The 14,838-nt window shown below is 47.2% G+C and overlaps 3 annotated features.

Moving 5' to 3' along the window:
* Positions 9,672 to 9,966: a silencer, noted in NCBI's record as "tiled region #1906; K562 Repressive non-DNase unmatched - State 23:Low". NCBI's record gives its function as "represses a minimal TATA promoter and a strong SV40 promoter by Sharpr-MPRA in K562 cells {active_cell/tissue: K562}" and the evidence as "EXISTENCE:reporter gene assay evidence [ECO:0000049][PMID:27701403]".
* Positions 10,502 to 11,002: an enhancer, noted in NCBI's record as "H3K4me1 hESC enhancer chr14:55275033-55275533 (GRCh37/hg19 assembly coordinates)". NCBI's record gives its function as "activates a minimal SCP1, AML or CMV promoter by ChIP-STARR-seq in primed H9 embryonic stem cells {active_cell/tissue: H9 hESC(primed)}" and the evidence as "EXISTENCE:reporter gene assay evidence [ECO:0000049][PMID:30033119]".
* Positions 13,796 to 14,597: an enhancer, noted in NCBI's record as "H3K27ac-H3K4me1 hESC enhancer chr14:55271438-55272239 (GRCh37/hg19 assembly coordinates)". NCBI's record gives its function as "activates a minimal SCP1, AML or CMV promoter by ChIP-STARR-seq in primed H9 embryonic stem cells {active_cell/tissue: H9 hESC(primed)}" and the evidence as "EXISTENCE:reporter gene assay evidence [ECO:0000049][PMID:30033119]".

Here is a 14,838-nt window from a genome sequence, read left to right as displayed (position 1 = left end):
AGTCCCCTACTTTCTCATTGTCTTACAGCCAACTGCTATCCTGTCTGTGCCCTGATTTCCTCATTTGAAAATAGGAGTAATAGTAGTTCCTACCTCCTGGGGTTGTAAGGAGAATTAACAGAGATAACTTATGAGTAGCACTCGAATAGCATTCAGAAATGTGAGCTATTACTGTTATTGCTGTTATTATTGATATTGTTATTATTATTACCTTGCCAGGCTTTGAGTTTGTGTGAGGATTTCAGAAAGCTGGAAGATGATCATAACAGGGATTGAGAGGTGAGTGAAGCTTCCCTTAATCAATGATGGCACCAAACCAGAAAGCAGGAGAGACGGAAGCACAGCTCCCAGACACAGAAAATTGCGTCCGCCTGAGCGGTATCAGCCCCACAAATCAGAGTTAATTTCTCTTCTTCTGCAGAGCTCGGCACAGTGGCCTGGATCACACAGTGACTCATCTAATAGCCCTGTGAGTTTGCCCAGCTTGCGGCATCACAAATTACACTTGCAGCCTCCTTATCAGGCAAGCTAGGAAATTAAACCTAAATGGCTATGGTGTTGCTAAGTAATATGGCTGCGTACACAGACACCCGAAGCTGAGACCATCACGGGCCCATTAAAGCATCATTTCCCGCTGTGGCTAATGAGGTTTGAATCCTTCAAAGGAAACCTGCTGTTCTTTTTTAAGGTCAGAAAGTGGGGTAACTCGGTTATAAGCAAGAGATAGAATTTCCCTTCCTAGATGCTAGGGGTGTGTGTGTTTATGGGTACATATTGGAGCTCTGTGGTCTCATGGCTAAGTGGCGGGGGTTGGGGGGAGATCAGAGACAGCCATCCTGCCCTCCCTGGACCCCTTGACCCTGGGCCAGGAGGGGCCTGGCCAATGGCACTCAGGCGGTTTTAGCTGAGTGCCTACTGGCTTCAATCTGGGAAGCTTCTTAGGAATATGGGGCAGCAGGGGATGACGGCATTCCTGGCATTTTCTTCCTTGGGACAGTTTTTTTCTTTAGGGGGCTTTTCTGTTTCTACAACAAAGTCCTAGAGCCATGAATGGGGCTCCTGGCCCCCAGGATGCTTGGGCAGCTGAGCTAGACCTGGAAGTGGACTTCATTTTCCCATTTCTTTCCAGTCAGGCCATCCGTGTCCATTTCAGAGTTTGGTTCCTCATGGACCCACAAAGATTAGAGCCTGGGGCACAGCCCCAGCGAGTAAGGCAGTGGCTGTATGTGGCCCCCTGAGTTCACTAACATAGTGACTGAGCATGTGTGTCACTAGCCCAGTGTGGCTCTTCTGAAGCTCCACAGCTGTGCTGGCAGTTAGCTGTTTAGTAAGTCAACACACTGCGGCTGCGTGGTCAGGGAGTTGGGGTCTGCCCCAGCTCCCCTCTGAAAGGATGCCCTCTACCTTCTCTGCTCTGGGCTCCTGAGATGGGTTGGGAGAGTGAATTACCTCCCCTTTAATTAGTATCTTTCATTGCATCTTCTCTACAATGCTGATGATTATTTTTCAAGACTCATTCAGGTGGGTTGGGTCTCACATCACTTCTGCATGGTGACCCGCGTATGGGGCTTACCGGCCACCTGGAGAACAGTGCCTGTGGTACAGTGGGTGTGTTTGTCCTGTCCAGGTCTGAGCGAGCCCTGAGCTTCATCCGCTGGGAGCTTTTGATAATCTGGCCTAGCCAGTCCCAGTCTTCATGAAAAGAAGAATGTGGAGGAGAATTCCAGAGCTGCTTTCTGGCATTCATTTTGTGATGGGAGACATGGCTGTCCCCAAAGGGGACAAGTACTTTTAGATTGGGGATGTTTCTAAATCAAACTCTACATAATCGAGTGCATTCTTTGCATTTTGTGAGCTTGCTGCAGGCTTGGACCTCTCTCCCTAAGGAAGGGTTGTGCTCTGCTGGAACTGGACGGACGTGTGGGGACTCACAGGCTGGCCACTGGTCTGACTGTATTTCCTACATCCCCACACACCATCCTCACAGGGAGGATGACACATGTCATGCCATGAAACACTTGACCAAGCATGGGTCAAAGCCACCAACACATCCCATTTTGTAGTGCCTTGCAAATCTTGTGTAGTTGTGAGCTATGATTTATTTCATGTAAGTGTATTGTGGTGCGTGGCTCCTAGTGGTTACTTTTCATATCATTATTTTTACCAAGTGTTTTCGCTCCTAAATTCAATCAAAAGCTGTATGACTTCTATCCCCTCTACCACTGTTTCCATTCAAGGAAGGAAATGCTGGCCAGATTTAGAGAGTGCCGATTTCATTTCCTTGGAGGGCCATCATTTGCTTGGTTGCATATGTGCTTTTCCTTGGTTGGTTCTTTTCAAAAATTTTTTTTTTAATTTTTATTTTTGTAGCAATCTTCCTGCCTCACCCTCCCAAGTAGCTGGGACTGCAGTCACGCACCACCAAGCCTGGCTAATTTTTAAAATTTTTTGTAGAGACAAAGTCTCTCACTATGTTGCCCAGGCTGGTCTCCAACTCCTGGGCATAAGTAGTCCTTTTGCCTTGGCTTCCCAAAGCATTGGGATTACAGTTGTGAACCACCATGCCTGGCTTAAAATTTTTTATTAAAAACAGAGGCATAAACACACACACTAGCCCAGGCCTACATAGGGTTGGGATCATCCATATCACTGTCTTCCATCACCATATCTTGTTCTGCTGGAAGGTCTTCACGGGCAATAAAGTGCATGGAGCTGTTATCTCCTGTGACAATAATACTGGAATGGACCCTGATGGACCAGTCTGAGGCTGTTTTACAGTTAACTTTTTTTTTAAGTAGAAGTACACTCTAATATAATGATAAAAATGATAGTATAGTGTGTATATATATATATAAGCTAGCAACATAGTCATTTATTGTCAAGAATTCTGTACTGTACATGCTGTACTTTTATACAACTGGGAACATAAGCTTTTTTTTTTTTATGGGATCATACAATTTTGTACCCTGCTTTTTCCATTTAACATCATATTATAAACATTTTCCCATGTCATTAAATTATTCTACATCATCACTTTCATTGCTTATAATTCATAATATGGATGCATTCTAATTTATTTAACCAATCCTCTGTTACGTGACAATTAGGTTAATTCCAATTTTCTTTTTTGCCATTATAGTCATTGCTGTAATGAACATCCTTGAGGTTCCTCTTTGCAGCAACATTTTTTGAAGCGCATTTTTAAGTCTTTAATTGATATTGCTACATTCCTTCTGAAAGGCTGTGCATATTTCTAACCAGCTGTGTATGGATTCTTCTTATTGCAATTTAAAATATATTTGTCAGTTCAATATGTGAAGAATGGGCATCTCGATGTTAATTTTAATATCTTGGATCATGGGAGGTTAAACATTCTCCTTGGGGGTAATTGCTAGAAGGGATATTTTGCGCTCTCCTGCTTCCAGATGGGGGAGGTTAAGTGTTGTTAGTGATCACTTAGGAAGATGAAATTGAAGCATGCTGCTGGGAAGCTGAGGGCAGTTCAAGTAGTGGCTATTAGTCTTCAGAACCTGAAGCCAATCTTCCTGGGCGTCAGTTTTCAATCTCCTTGAGTGGGCCTCCTAATCTGGAGGTATCTGGCTTGTGCAGGCCTGCAGCAGCCCAGACCTGGGAGGAGTAGGCGGCGGGACCCAGGAGGCTTGGGGTGGCATCAGGAAGCAGGATGGGCCTGGCTACCTCCTAGATTGATTTTCTACACCTCCAGGCTTTCCCCTTTGCTTTCCCCTCCGTCGTGAAGATAATCAGGTATGAGCAGCTTTCACTGGGTTCTGTGGCTTCTGCTACCTTCCATGAAAGCGCAGCTAGAGCAGTTGGTGCGGGTGGGAGATTTTGAGTGTGAGGTGTGTGGTGAATCTGTTGAGTGGATGGTTTAGGACTGTCAGTGCTGCCAGGCTCTCGTTTCTAGGTGGGGAGAGAAGTCAGAGCTGGGACCTTCCAGTGAGAGGTCCAGGGATGGATCTGATACCAGGAGGACAATATCACAAAGTGTTCTGCCAGTTTCAATAACTGGATTTATGAGGAGAAAACGGCGTGAGGACGGTCTGGGAAGTGGTGACGTCGGAAGTCAGGAAGGCAGCTGGCAGTGTGTGCTCCTCCCTGGACGGCCCCTTCGTCATCCAAATTGGCAGGTGCTCCCGGAAGAGCGGTCAGGCTGTGAGAGAAACCGCTTCATTCCCTGGAATGTGGGGAAGAGAGTGGAGGTTTAATGTGTAATTTGCAGTCCTTAGAATCCATTATGGGCATGAATAAGCCCAGAGAGGCTATAGGCGGGAGAATTAAACATGAATGCTCATCGAGACTGAGGCACTGGAGACTGAGAAGAAGTTCAGTTGCCAACATCTTTCACTTTGGGTATTCACTCTGAAGTCACTTGGCCAAAGCCACCTGAGGTCAGTTGATGAAAGGCCCTGGAAGGTAATGTAATGCCACAAAGATTTCTCACAATGGAAAAATCAGGTTTGGCACCGGTGAGCTGTGAATTCTTCTGAGGTGGTAAACCTGGACTCTCCACAGCTCTTTGAGAGCTGGAGGCTAAGAAAATCTGAGAATGGGGTTTATGTCAGCCCTCCTTGCTGTGAAGGAACTTGGGCCTTTTGGCGTTGAGTGCACAGTGGAGTCAGAGGAGAGGATGTGGTGGGGGCAGCGGCACACACAGTTGACTGCCATGGAGAGGAGAACTGCCTTTGGAAGCATCTGGAGGCATTTGGTTGGATTTAGTGGTGTGCCTGCATTTATTATTAATCATGGTGACTCTGCTTTGTGTTTTTCACAGTGCATTCTTGTAGATCTGACTTGATTTTCATAATATAAAATATTTTCCACGACTTTATTGAATTTTAATTTTGGCAGTGTTTGCCAGTGTTTGAACAACTGCTCAGCCTCATGGGAGGGATGGTTTTATAAGCTTGTGGAGGAAGCTAAGTGTGTTTACAAGCCGTGGTAGCACATTTAAGAGTCAGGCATGGACTCCTCCAGTCCTGACGGGGGCGCTGTGGGGCAATGGTGGGCTGAATGTGGCCCAGTCATAGTCCCACGTGAGACCACAGTAGATGCCATTGTGGAAGCTTAGCTCCCACTCCACCTTGGAGGTGTCAAGGCCTTGTTTTTTGTTCCAGGATCTATGTGTAATTAGAGCAGGAGACCCTTTTACTTGAGAACTGTTGTCTTTGCTGTGTGATCTTTGGTAGGTTATTTAAGCTCTCCAGTCCTTAGTTCTCATTTGTGAGATGAGATAATAATAGCATCGATCTCAGGGAATTGTGTGAAGGTTAATTGAGTTAATACATTTTTAAAAAGAGAGAACACTCAATGGGTATTAACTATTATGACGACAAGAGTATTAATGACCACTCATATTGGACTTCATAGATGGAGGAAGCCCAGGCTGGTTGGAGAGCTTGCCTGTCTCCCAGCAAGGTTTTAACAAATCTAACAAATCCCCATTCTCTACCTGGGTGGCCTTGCCAGGGACGTGGTGACAAGCATAAAGGGGAGGAGCTATGGTTCTTCAGGAAGGTGCTGATGGAAGGATAACCAGTACTGTGCTTTTATGAAATAGCAAGCCAAAATGGGGAACTTGACCTAGAGAATTTGATTAACCTCTTCAACTACATCAAAGGCAGCAGAGAAGCAACTTCTCTCGTGGGATGCTAAGAACTGAAAGAGTGTGTGCTGCCCTCTAACTCTTGGCCCTGGCACTTACCAGCTGTATAACCAGGGCCAGTTACTTAATCTCTCTGCACCTTAGTTTCCTCATCTGTCAATGGGAATGATACTATTTTATAGGGTTGTTGCAGTTACTAAATCAGGTGATATCTGTAGAATGCCTAGCAAGTTGTTAAATTCTTGGAGCCAGGTGAAGGCTCAGTAAAAGCCAATCATTATGCTCATTATTATGTTTATTACAAATGCTCTTATTACAAGCTACCTTACAGCTTATGATTTACAACTGAGGAAACAGGTTATTTCATGACAGGACTTGTCCTGTGATAGTTCTCTTCCTCACCATGAAAGATGTCAACAGCACTCATCGGGATTCCCCCACCTTGGCTGGACCTATCTTCTGGCCTTGGTGGTTGCCCATGTGAAGATTGGGAGAAGGTGATGCCCTCCTGGTTGCACAAGGGCTGGGTCTAAGTCATCCGGTCTCTGTGTGTATCTACAGCCCTAGGAATGGGGAATAGCTCCTGGCTCCTATTGCATGATCAGGGATTTTGAGGATATTTGAGGTGTCCAGACTCAAACCTTCCTTGTCATTACCTCCTTAATAGGTTTTTCCCTCTACCTAACAATTCTTCTTTCTCAGCTTCTCTTGAACGTGTCCCTCTTTTCCATGGCCTCAGTTGCCTCTCACTCCCTGCCTACAGACTCCTCTGGCTTTGCCCTCTTCTGTACCCTCCCTGGAATTGTTTTTGCCTCTCCAGCCCCGGCTCCCCATTCCTCGGATGACAGCACCAGACTTTCCTATGGGGATGGATACATTAGGAATGCGTTCAGCTGTAAATGATAAGAAAGCTGATGCAGAGTGGCTGCAACGTAAAGATTTATTTCATTCACATAGCACTAATTCTGAAGGTAGGTGGTTGCCTGCTTTGATTCAGCGTTTCTCTCCTCATGCTTGCAGCTCTAAGCATCACATCTGCACTCAAGGCAGGATGAAGGAAGGGAAGGAGGAAGAATAATTTGAAGTTGTTCTTCTTCTTCTTTTTTTTTTAATCAGAAAAGCCAAAGTTTTTCCAGTTGTCTCCACCATACTTCCACTTATATTTCATCAGCCAGAGCTGTGTTAAGATTCTCTCTAGCTGCAAAGGAGATGGGGAAGGCTAGCATTTCATTTTTCTAGCCTCCAAAATGGAGAAAAAGAGAGAAAGAGCTTGGGGGTGTGGGGTTATGCAGCCAGCGCTGTCAAAACTTCTCCCCAGTCTCCGCGCATGTGGTGGAGTTGACCCCCACTCCAGGCGTGTCACTGATGACCAGTCAGAGCATGGCATCACTCTGGCCACAGGGATTGTTTCATGAAAGGGCATGTGACTAAGCTAGGAAAATTAGAGATGATGAGACTCAATTTCAGGACTTCAGTTGAAACTGTTGGGAAAGAGAAAATCTTTCATTTGGATTTAAGTATGGCATAAACTGCTGAGATCCTTAGGCTACCCCTTAAAGAAAGCTGACCTGAGATGGTCCCAACCCAGAGGAAAGCAGGGTTGAGAGACAGGGAGCAGTGCTGATGACATGGATGGAATTCCTGGATCCAGCTGTACCTGATGATCCCATGAACTTTCATGTCTGTGAGCCAGTACATTTTCCTTTTTACTTAAGCCAGTTGGTGTTTGGTGTCTATCACTTCAAGTAAAAGAATCTTGGATAATACGTGCCCTTGGAGGCTCTGCTTGAGGCACCAATACCATTTGGTTTTGTTTATGTGTTTACATATCAAGATCTCTCACCAGATGCACACTCTGCTGGCAGGGGTCATCTTTGAATCCCAAGGCCCCCAACACTGGATGTGACACATAGCAGGTTCGCAGTAAAGTCTTAATTAATGAATGAGCCATGTTTCTCTTCTGCTCTCCATGCCTGCCTCGTAAATCCAGGCTCTGTCATCTAGCACTCAAGGACTTCTGTCATCCGGCCTCCATAGTGTCCTCCATTACTCCCCTTGTTTTAACAGTGGTCGTTCTCCATCTGTACATCTCTTCATGCTGGCCTCTCCGCCTGGAACACGGCTGGCTCCATCTTCATCTTTCAAAACTCTATATACTCAAGACACAACTAAAATGTTGCTTCTTCCAAGGAGCCTTCTTTGATCATCTCAAGTCCTAACCCCTGCAGCTCTCGCTGATATTCATGAGACACCTGTCTCGTCGCCCTGTGGCAGTTGGTGTGTCTCTTATCTCCCCAGTTAAACCATTAGCTTTGTGCCTCTTCCAGCACCTAGCAGGGTGCCATTCATGTTGTGGGGCTCAGGAGACATAGATCACTGGAAAAAACCTGGTTTGGGATGAATTTCTGTCTCAGACCCTGGAGAGGGATTTTCTTTTCCTGATCACATTTTGTTAAAGCTATTTTTCCTATTAAATTTTTTTTTCCCCACAAATTTGTTGAGGTATCATTGATGTAAACTGCAAGTATTTAAGGTGTGCAATTGGAAGAATTTTGAAATATGTATATACCTGCAAAACCGTCCCCACAATCGAGATAGTAGACATGTTCTTTACCCCTGAGCAGTACCCACACCCCTTTGTAATCTCTACCTCCCTTTTCCCCCAAAACAGACTCCAAAACAGATCTGCTTCCTGTCACAACAGTTGAATGTGCATTTTCTAAAATCCTCTGTTACTGGAATCGTATGGTTTGTATTTTTTTGTCCTACTTCTTTCACTCAGTAGAATTACTCTGAGATTCGTCTGTTGTTGTGTATATCAACAGTTTGTTCTGTTTCACTGCTGAATAGTGTTCTCTTGCATGAATATACCACTATGTATCAGTTCATCTGTGGACATTTGGGTTGTTTGGGTCAAGTTTGGGGATTTTACAAATAAAGTTGCTATGAACATTTGTGTATAAGTCATTATACGAACATATGCTTTCATTCATCCTGACAAATATCTAGGAGTGGAATGGCTGGATCAAAGGGTAGGAATATATTGAATTTTTAAACTCTTTTATGTGGCTGTACCATTTTACATTCCCACTGATTCTAGTTGTACATACTCCCTGGCCATATTTTCATTTCTTCCCCATATATCAAAGTTAGTGCTTTTCAAACTTTAAAAAATTTGGGTTTGTTTTTGTTTTTGAGACAGGGTCTTGCTCTGTCATCCAGGCTGGAGTGCAGTGGTATGATCTCAGCTCACTGCAGGCTCCACCTTCCAGGCTCAAGTGATATTCCCACCTCAGTCTCCCGAGTAGCTGGGACTACAGGTGCGTGCACCATCATGCCTGGCTAATTTTTGTATTTTTAGTAGAGATGGGGTTTTGTCATGTTTCCCAGGCTGGTCTCGAACTCCTGGCCTCAAGGGATTTGTCTACCTTGGCCTCCCAATGTCCTGGGATTACAGGCACGAGCCACCTTGCCTAGCCTGTTTTGATTTTTTGTTTGTTTGTTTTAGAAGCAGAAACCTTAAAAAATAAAGGCCATACCTAGACCCCTCATGAGTAAAGTGCATAAGGAGATAGATGCTTTGGCTGAAGGGTTGTAGGAGGCGTGTGGCACCTGAGGCCCTGGGCCACCTCTTCCAGCTCTGGGGCCCCAGGAACACATACATGTAGAACACCCACTCTAGGTGACAAGCATGAGTCAGATTTGACTTTCACTTAAGTTCTGGGCCGCAGCACCTGCCAGCCATGCTGAGAACCTCGCTGGGGCCTCCAAACTGACGAGCCTTGGAGGCGGCCCGGACACAGCAGCATGGGCTATGGGGTGATATTTCTCGCTGGATAGAATAGGTTTTTCAGGATATCAATACTACCTTTCCACCACCGTGGCATGTCAGTCAAACTTCCTCCATCTCCAAGACAAATATCAGAAACTGCGTGACTCCAGATACCAGGAACAAAGAAACAAATTGGGAACATCATGCACAAAAAAAAGATTTTAATAAAGATTCAGCCAGCTCCGTGCATAGATCCTGCCATGCTGCTTATTGTGATCTTGACAGTGATGCCGGGCGAGAATGAATAGACCGTGAGGCCGTTCATATTCCTGGCACTGACGAGCCCACTGCAGCCTAAATGATGGCTGACTATAGACAGGGACCATTTACAGGGGCTGCTCCGGGGGACCTCTGGCCTCAGCCTCTTGGCCTCTGTGGGCTCTGGGACCCTGAAGCTGAGGTTTCTCACCGGCCAGCAGGGAGCCTGAGAAAAGCAGATTCCTGGGCCCTCAACCTTCATTTGCACTCCTGGGCCAGGACCCTGAAGAGCTGCGTTTTTACCATGCTCTCTGTGTTTCTTTCTCCTCTTCATTCTGCTTTTTATTATAGAAAACTTTAAACATACACAAAAGTAGACAGGATAGTATAATGAACCCTATGCACCCACAGCCCGGCTTCAACAGTTACCCATAGATGGCCAATCTTGTTGCATCTCTACTCCTACTCACTGTCCCTAGTATGATTTTGAATCAAATCCCAGACATTAAATTATTTCATCTGTAGACAGGTCCCCCTGTCTAAAACATAAGGGGATCTTTTTAAAGACATAACCACAATATTATTATCCCACCTAAAAATGAGCACTAATTTCTTTCTGGTGCATAGTTGAGCGTGAGGACCATGGTCCTAAGCTCTCTCAGCCAATGGGGAGGTCACTTCCTCCTGTAGTGGGAGCCGCGCCTGCGTGCCTGACACGTGTTGCAAGAGGGTGTGCATTTTGAAAGGAATCCGGCAGGAGCTCTACTTCTGGAAATCCAAGTTCATAAGAGAAAAACAGCACCAAGTTGGGCTGACCACCTGTATTGCAAAGGGGGGCCTTGGGTCCTAGGCAGGACCATTATCTAGAATCTTGCTGTCCACACCTTCTATTTATTTTTAAAGCCAACTTTGCATTTTAACCTAAGGGGTGCAGGGAAGCCACAGTCGAGTTCCCTATGGAGTAGTTCTTGGGGGCTTACCAGTATGATGTCACTCTGGGCAGACTTTGAATATCCAGTCAGACCCCCTGGGTTTGATGTGTGGCTCTGCAGTTTATGCACTGTGCATTAGGAAGCTGACACTTGCTGTAATCGGCTGGCAGGGGAGTATTTTGAGATAATGACAGTAGATGACATGCTGATAAACAGGCTGGATGCTGGGAGTGTGTGGTGACACAGGTCACCCATCATCCCCTGTGTGCCCACTGCCTACCCAGGGGCCCATCCAGATGGTTTTTCAGGCCCTACTTTCATCCCAAGAGCTGGATTCATGGTTTTTTGCAGGTGCCAAACAGGAACCAGCTGGGCTTCCCAGCACTCAGAGCCCCCAAGGCTGGTGGGCAGAGCAGGCCCTGCTGGAGCTCTTGCTCCAGCTGCCTGCCTTGGAGAATCCTCTGCAGTGTGCAGCGAGGCGCTCCTGGGCTGATTGTCTTCCAGCCCTTGCTCCTGAGGGCACCATTTCCCACACATCCCAGGCCCCTCGGAATTGAGATGGCTGTGTCCTTGGCTGACCAGGTGTCCCTTGATTCCGGGGAGGAGCAGGGACATAGGAAAAGGAGCTTTGCTGGTGGAGGAGGCTGCGCAGGGAGCAGTGGGATGCCAAGCTCTCCTATTGCTGTCCATCCTCAGGGCTGAAGGGTGCTCAGTAAGAAGCAGCCAGGAAGGTGGGCTCATCGGGGCTGCACCCAGTGCAGTGGGGCCAAAGTCTTAAAGGCTCCTCCATAATGGGACCTCTTCCTCTAGTGGAGGCCAGAGCGTGTGCAGATTGCTGGACAGTGGACAAAGGATGGGTTGTATCTTTGAAGGCCTAGGAGTCAAAGCTACTATGCCTCCTTTAGCTGCTGGGGGTTGGGGGGCTGAGGAGTGTTCCACAAGGGCCCAGTCTGTCCGGGAGCTGCTGCCTACTGGCTGGATGGACACAGCTTGGCTCACTCATGCCCAGAGAGAGAGAGAGAAAGAGTTAAGCTGCTGACCCTAAAGGCAAGGGAGAGCTGGCCGTGCAGCTGTGCGTGGGAGCCAGACTAAGCAGCCGAGACAGGGCAGACAGTGTAAGAAAGCTGTTGATGAGAGCGGCTGCTGAGTAAAATCATATTTTACCTGCCTACGGCCCCCTGAGCATTCTTTCTGCTCATCCACCCACTCCCTTTGGACCTCAACATGACATTTGTCATAGTCATGAAACTGACAGGGGAAGACAGCCTTAGCTTCAGAGTTAGGAGGTCCTGGGTTCTACTCCCTGCAATGGGGGGTCAGTTGGTACAACCATAATAGGGGGAAGTTTGATGGCATCTTTTACAATCACAAACACACCTGTGTATCCTTTGACCTAGCAATTTCACCTGTGCAAAAGGGCAGGTGGACAAGGAGGTTCATTGCAGTATATTTGTAACCACAGAAGACTGGCAACATCTCAATGCCCATCTGTAGTGGGCAAGTTTAATAACCTGTGGTTATTTCATACAATACCTCTTAAAAAGAATGAGGCATTTCCATGCATTCATTGCTACAAAACGATTGTCAGTGATATTAGAGTGCAGTTCTACTTCTGGAAATCCATGCTCATAAGAGAAAAACAGCACTAAGTTGGCCTGACCACTTGTGGTGCAAAAGGGGGCTTGGGTCCTAAGTAGGGCCATTATCTAGAATCTTGTCGTCCAGGCCTTTTTATGTATGTATGTATGTATGTATTTTGTGACGGAGTCTCCCTCTGTTGCCTAGGCTGGAGTGCAGTGTTGTAATATCGGCTCACTGCAATATCCACCTCCCAGGTTCAAGTGATTCTCCTGCCTCAGCCTCCCAAGTAGCTGAGATTACAAGTGCCCGCCACCACGCCCAGCTGATTTTTGTATTCTCAGTAGAGATGTAGTTTCACCATGTTGGCCAGGCTGATCTTGAACTCCTGACCTCAAGTGATCCACCCCTCCTCGGCCTCCTAAAGTGCTGAGATTACAAGGCATGAGCCACCGCCCAGGCCATATTTATTTTTAAAATCAACTTTGCGTTTTAACCTAAGGGGCGCAGGGAAGGTGCGGGGATGCAAGGCTGGGAACAGTGTATGGTATGCAGCCTCTGTGCGTTAAAAAAAAAACTCCCTTTATACCCATGGGATATTGTTGAACAAGTTCACGAGAAACTAAAAACGAAGGTTGCAAACAGTGTGGCAACTTGGCAGAACAGTGGTTGGAGGGAGATGTTTTCATTATAGAATCCTTCAGAAAATTTGAGTTTTGTGTCATTTGTATGTGTTTAAAATAAACTAAATTTAAATAAAATCTCTGGCATCAAATGGGCTGTGCGACTTTGGGCAAGTCACCTAGTTGCTGGAGCCTCATCTATAAAACCAGATAAGATGAAGGCACAGTGTTGCTGTAAAGGTGACAGCTAGTGGATACTAAGTGCCTTGCGCAGGACGTGGACTTAGCGGGGATTCAGCAGTCGGAGCTCCATGAGCGCGACTTACTAACGTCATGATACCAGGGCGGGAGAACAATCCCAGGCTAGAAGACACAGTGATTTGAGAGACTATGAGCACCTCGAGGGCCAGGATGGCATCCTTCTCATCCTGGTTCCTTCCACCGCATGTGACCCGGGGCATAGGGACTTATGTTGATTTGAATAGGGCTGTTCTGGTGCCGCCTCCCCAGAACAAGCGCTGAGTGGGAAGACACTGACCACCAGAGGGCGCCAGCTGCGCATGGCTTCCCCTTTCCCTTCTGGAACCTCCTGGGCTGCCAAAATGTGTCAGATTCGCCGGGGAAAAATGTTTAAGGTGACTCTTTCCCTCCTTGCTAAGGCCACTAAATACATTGCTTAATTGGTTCCTCTTAGGGCTAGAGGGATTTGTAGTCACCAAAAGTGCTGCACAACTGGCATAACCACCCTGGGGATGAGTGTGTGGTGTGCACGTGTACATATCAGGGTGTGTGGTGTGGCTAGAGGACATCTTCTCTCAGCAGCCCCTGTGTTGCTCATGGCTCCCGAGTCTTGGATCCAGCCTTCATACTGGGTGCTACAGCAAGGGCTGTGGGTCCCAAGGGGAATGGAGAACAGTCTGTCTACAGGATACCTGATTTTGTGGGTGCTTCCAGGCTGGGGAGAGTGCTGGGAATGGCCTGAGTGAAGACTTTGTAGCTAATAACTCCTGTCATCGGCTGACGAGGTAGGGAATGGACAGTGCTTGAGGATTGTAATCACCATGACAATACTCGCGGCTAACACTCAAGAGCACAGCCTATGTATCAGGCTCTGTTCCAGGTGCTGTGCATACATCAACTCACTTAACCCTCCACAACGCGCCACTGGGTAGCACCCCTATTGCACAGATGGAGAAATGGAGGCACGGAGAGGCAAAGTAATGCACCCAAGGACACATAGCTGAGCTGGTAAGTGGCAGAGCTGGGAAGTGAGTGGAGGAAAGGCAGGCTTGGGCTTCAGAGCCCCAGGGATTTGAAGCCGGAGCATTCAGGCTTGCAACACATTTTCAAGATACCCAGATGGGAGAGCTGCCTGTTTTAAACGTGAAGGAAGACAGATTTCAAAACGAGCCCTTGCTTCCAGTTTTGAGGTTCTTCCCCAGCCTCCTGGGCAAGGAATGCTCCGTTCAGTATAAATATTAAAAACGAAGGCTGCAGGAGTGGCAAAGCAGGATGTGGGGGAGGGTCTTTTCTGTTGAGGAGCCAGGGCCCAACACCTTTCCATACAGGTGCAGTGAGACCGCGGAGGCAGGGCCAGGAGAGGGGCGTCCTCAGCCCATTCGGCTACGCTGGCAGCAGGGAGGGTGGAGCAGAAGCTGCCTCACTCCTGGCACATCGCGGGCGGGAGGCCGCTGCAGGCACTTCTGCTACTCTATCATCTATTTCTTTTTATTTTTTTGAGTCAGTCCCTCAGACAGTCCGGTTTGTTAGCTTCCTGCGGGCTCTCCACTGAACCCAGCCTTTGAATGGGAGACTGAGTCAGAGCAGCCTCAAACATCCCCTGAAGGCGAGAGCCGCTGTGCGTGAAAGCACCTTTCAGAGCATTACATTTCCCTGCTTCTGAGTCTTTGAACCAGGAGTGATCCACAGGTTGCAGCCCAGCTGGAGGTGGATGATGAAAGAAATTGGCCCGCTCAGAGTCGGGTGGGAGCTAACAGAGAAGGAGAGTTTGATGAATGCGCGGCTGGGCCTGGCCCTGGGACCCTAGTGATC

This window comes from Homo sapiens, chromosome 14 (genome assembly GCF_000001405.40).
Source record: "Homo sapiens chromosome 14, GRCh38.p14 Primary Assembly".
NCBI lineage: Eukaryota > Metazoa > Chordata > Mammalia > Primates > Hominidae > Homo > Homo sapiens.
This window is presented reverse-complemented; position numbering and strand designations above follow the sequence as displayed.